This window comes from Homo sapiens, chromosome 7, assembly GCF_000001405.40.
Source record: "Homo sapiens chromosome 7, GRCh38.p14 Primary Assembly".
NCBI classification, from domain to species: Eukaryota; Metazoa; Chordata; class Mammalia; order Primates; family Hominidae; genus Homo; species Homo sapiens.
In genome coordinates this window covers 53,833,381-53,836,760 of record NC_000007.14, presented here as the reverse complement: position 1 = coordinate 53,836,760, position 3,380 = coordinate 53,833,381, and the positions used below count along the sequence as shown (strand labels likewise).

The 3,380-nt window shown below is 41.4% G+C and overlaps 1 annotated feature.

The window, feature by feature from the left end:
* Positions 963-1,485: an enhancer, noted in NCBI's record as "NANOG hESC enhancer chr7:53902969-53903491 (GRCh37/hg19 assembly coordinates)". NCBI's record gives its function as "activates a minimal SCP1, AML or CMV promoter by ChIP-STARR-seq in naive H9 embryonic stem cells {active_cell/tissue: H9 hESC(naive)}" and the evidence as "EXISTENCE:reporter gene assay evidence [ECO:0000049][PMID:30033119]".

Genomic DNA, 3,380 nt, shown 5'->3' with positions numbered 1-3,380 from the left:
CTTATGCTGTTGATCTCTAGTTTTACCACATTTTGGTTGGAAAAGATACTTTGTTTGAATTCAGCCTTTTTACAATTGTTTAGAATTGTTTTATGAGCTAATCTATACTCTGTCTTGTGGAATATTACTTGTGCATTTAAACAGCTTTTGTTGGGGTAAGTGTTCTTTAGTGACCTGTTAAGTCCAAATGGTTTATAGCGTTTAAGTTCTCTCTTCTGTTTGGTTGTTCTAGTCATTATTTAAAGTGGAGTATTAAAGTTTCCTAGTATCATTCTATTTCTTTCTATTTTTACCTTCAATTCAGTCAGTTTTCTTTGTATAATTTGAAGCTGTGATGGGCATATATTTTTAAATTCACTATATCTGTGTATTAATTCATTCCTGTACTGCTATAAAGAAATACCTGAGACTGGATAAATTATAAAGGATAGAGGTTTAATTGGTTCATGGTTCTGTAGGCTTTACAGAAAGCATGGTGCTGGCATCTGCTCCACTTCTGGTGAAGCCTTGGGGAGTTTTCAGTTGTGGTGTAAGGTGAAGTGGTTACAGGTACTTCACACAATGAAAGCAGGAGCAAATGAGGGAAAGAGTGAAGGGTTGGTGCCACACACTTAAATGATCAGATCTTGTGTGAATTCAGAGTGAAAGCTCATTCATCACCAAGGGGATGGCCCAAGCCATTAATGAGGGCTCCACCCCTATGATCGAAACACCTCCCACCAGTCCTCTCCTCCAGCATTGGGGATTAAAATTCAACGTGAGATTTGTGTAGAGACATATATCTATACTATGTAATTCTGTCCCTGGCTTCTCCCAAATTGCATGCCTTTCTCACTGCAAAACATAATCATGCCTTCCTAAGAGTCACCCAAAGTCTTAACTTATTCCAGCATTAACTCAAAAGTCCAAAGTCCAAAGTCTCATTTGAGACAAGGCAAGTCTCTTTCACCTCTGAGCCTGTAAAATCAAAACAAGTTAGTTACTTCCAAGGTACAATGTAGGTATAGGCATTGGGTAAACATTCCCATTCTGAAAGGGAGAAAATTGACCAAAAGAAAGGGACTACAGGCTCCATGCAACCAAACAGGGCAGTCATCAAGTTTTGAAACCCAACAGGGAGTCATTAGGTCTTAAAGCTCCAAAATAATCTCCTTTGACTCTAACTCTTACCTAGAGAGCACACTGCTGTGAGGGGTAGACTCCCTAGGCCTTAGGCAGCTGTGCCTCTATGGCTTTGCAGGGTTCAGACCCAGCAGGGCAGTCATTAAGTCTGAAAGCTCCAAAATAATTTCCTTTGACTCTATGCCTTACATCCAGGGCACACTGCTGTGAGGGGTAGACGCCTCAGGCCTTGACAGCTGTGCTTCTATGGCTTTGCAAGATTCAGACCCCATGGCTGCTCTCATGGGTTGGCGTTGAGTGCCTGCAGCTTTTCCAGGTGCAGAGCGCAAGCTGCCATTGGATCCATCATTCTACTGTCTGGAGAATTGTGGCCTCCTTTGCAGAACTCCACTATTCAGTGCCCCACTGGGGACTCTGTGCGGGTGCTCCAACCCCACATTTCCCCTTGACATTGCCCTAGTAGAAGTTCTCTGTGAGGGTTCTACCCATCAGGCTTCTGCCTGAGCACCTGGGTTTTTCCACACATCCTATGAAATATAGGTGGATGATGCCAAGCCTCATTTACTCTTGCAATCTGTGTGTCCACAGGCTTAATATCTTGTGGAAAACACCAGTGCTTATGGTAGCTTGTGCTCTCTGGAGCAGCTGCATAAGTGTTATATGGGGCCTATAGAGCCAAGGCTGGAGCCTTAGTGGCTGGGATACGGGGAGCAGTGTTCTGACACTGGGCAGGTCAGCAGGGTCCTTGGCTTGTCCTGGCTCAGGAAATCATTCTTCCCTCATGTACCTCTAGGTCAGGGATGATACGAACTGCCATGAAGGTCTCTGAAATACCTTTGAGGCCTTTTGCCCATTGCTTTGGCAATCAGCACTTGTCTCCTTTTTAGTTATGCAAATTTCTCTAACAAGTGGTTGGTCTACAGCCTCTCCTGAAAATGTGTTGTCTTTCTCTGCCACATGGCCAGGCTGCAAATGTTTCAAATGTTTATGTTCTACCCTTTTAAATTAAGTTCCACTGTTAAGTCATTTTGTTGCTTCCACATCTTAGCACAGGTTGTAAGAAGCAGCCAGGCTACATCTTCAATTTTGCTGTTTAGACATTTCTTCTGCCACATACCCTAAACCATCACTCTTAAGTTCCAACTTCCACAGATATCTAGGGCATGAAGAGAATGAAGCCAAGCTCTTTGCTAAGACATAACATACATGAGGTTTGCTCCAGTTCCCAATAAGTTCCCCATTTCCACCTGAGACCACAGCAGCCTGGACTTCATTTCATATCCTTGTCAGCATTTTGGTCACAACCCATATAGCCAGTCTCTGAAAAGTTCCAAAATTTCCCACATCTTCCTGTCTTCTGAGCCCTCCAAACACTTCCAATCTCTACCCAGTTCCAATGCTGCTTTTAAATTGTCAGGTATCTTTATAACAATACCCCACTCTTGGTACCAATTTTCTGTGTTAGGCCATTCCTGCATTGCTGTAATGAAATACCTGAGACTGGATAATTTATGAAGAGAAAAGGTTTAATTAGTTCATGGTTCTGAAGGCGGTATAGGAAACATAGTACTAACATCCCTAGGCTTCTGAGGATGCCTCAGGGAGCTCTTACTCATGGTGGAACATGAAGAAGGAGCTTGTATGTCACATGTTGAAAGCAGGAATGAGAGAGAGAGAGTGGAATGAGAGGTGCCACATACTTTAAACAACCAGATCTCATGTGAACTCGGAGTGAGAGCTCACTTACAACCAAGACGATGGCCCAAGCCACCCATGAGGAATCAATTCCCATGATTCAAAGGTGAATCCAGGCTCCACCTCCAACACTGGGGATTACATTTCAACAAGAGATTTAGGTGGGAACAAATATGTAAACTATATCAATCTTCCAGTCAAATTGATTTTTTTATTATTATATAATGTCTTTTTTCTCTCTCATGACAGTTTTGGCTCAAAGTCAATATTCTTTGATATTAGTATAGTCACCTCTGCTTTCTTTTGGTTACCATTTGCATGGACAGTTTTTTATATTTTTTCACTTTCACCCTATATGCACTCTTAAATCAAAACTTAGTCTTTTTCAGAGAGCACATAGTTGTATTTTGTTTTTTTACCAATTCAGCTAACCTGTTTTTTATTAGAATGTTTAATCCATTTACATTTAAAGTAATTGCTGATAGTGAATGACTTGCTGTTGACATCTTTTTAGAGTAAAGGTTTATATATTTTTATAGCAATTTGACAATGATGAGGCATTT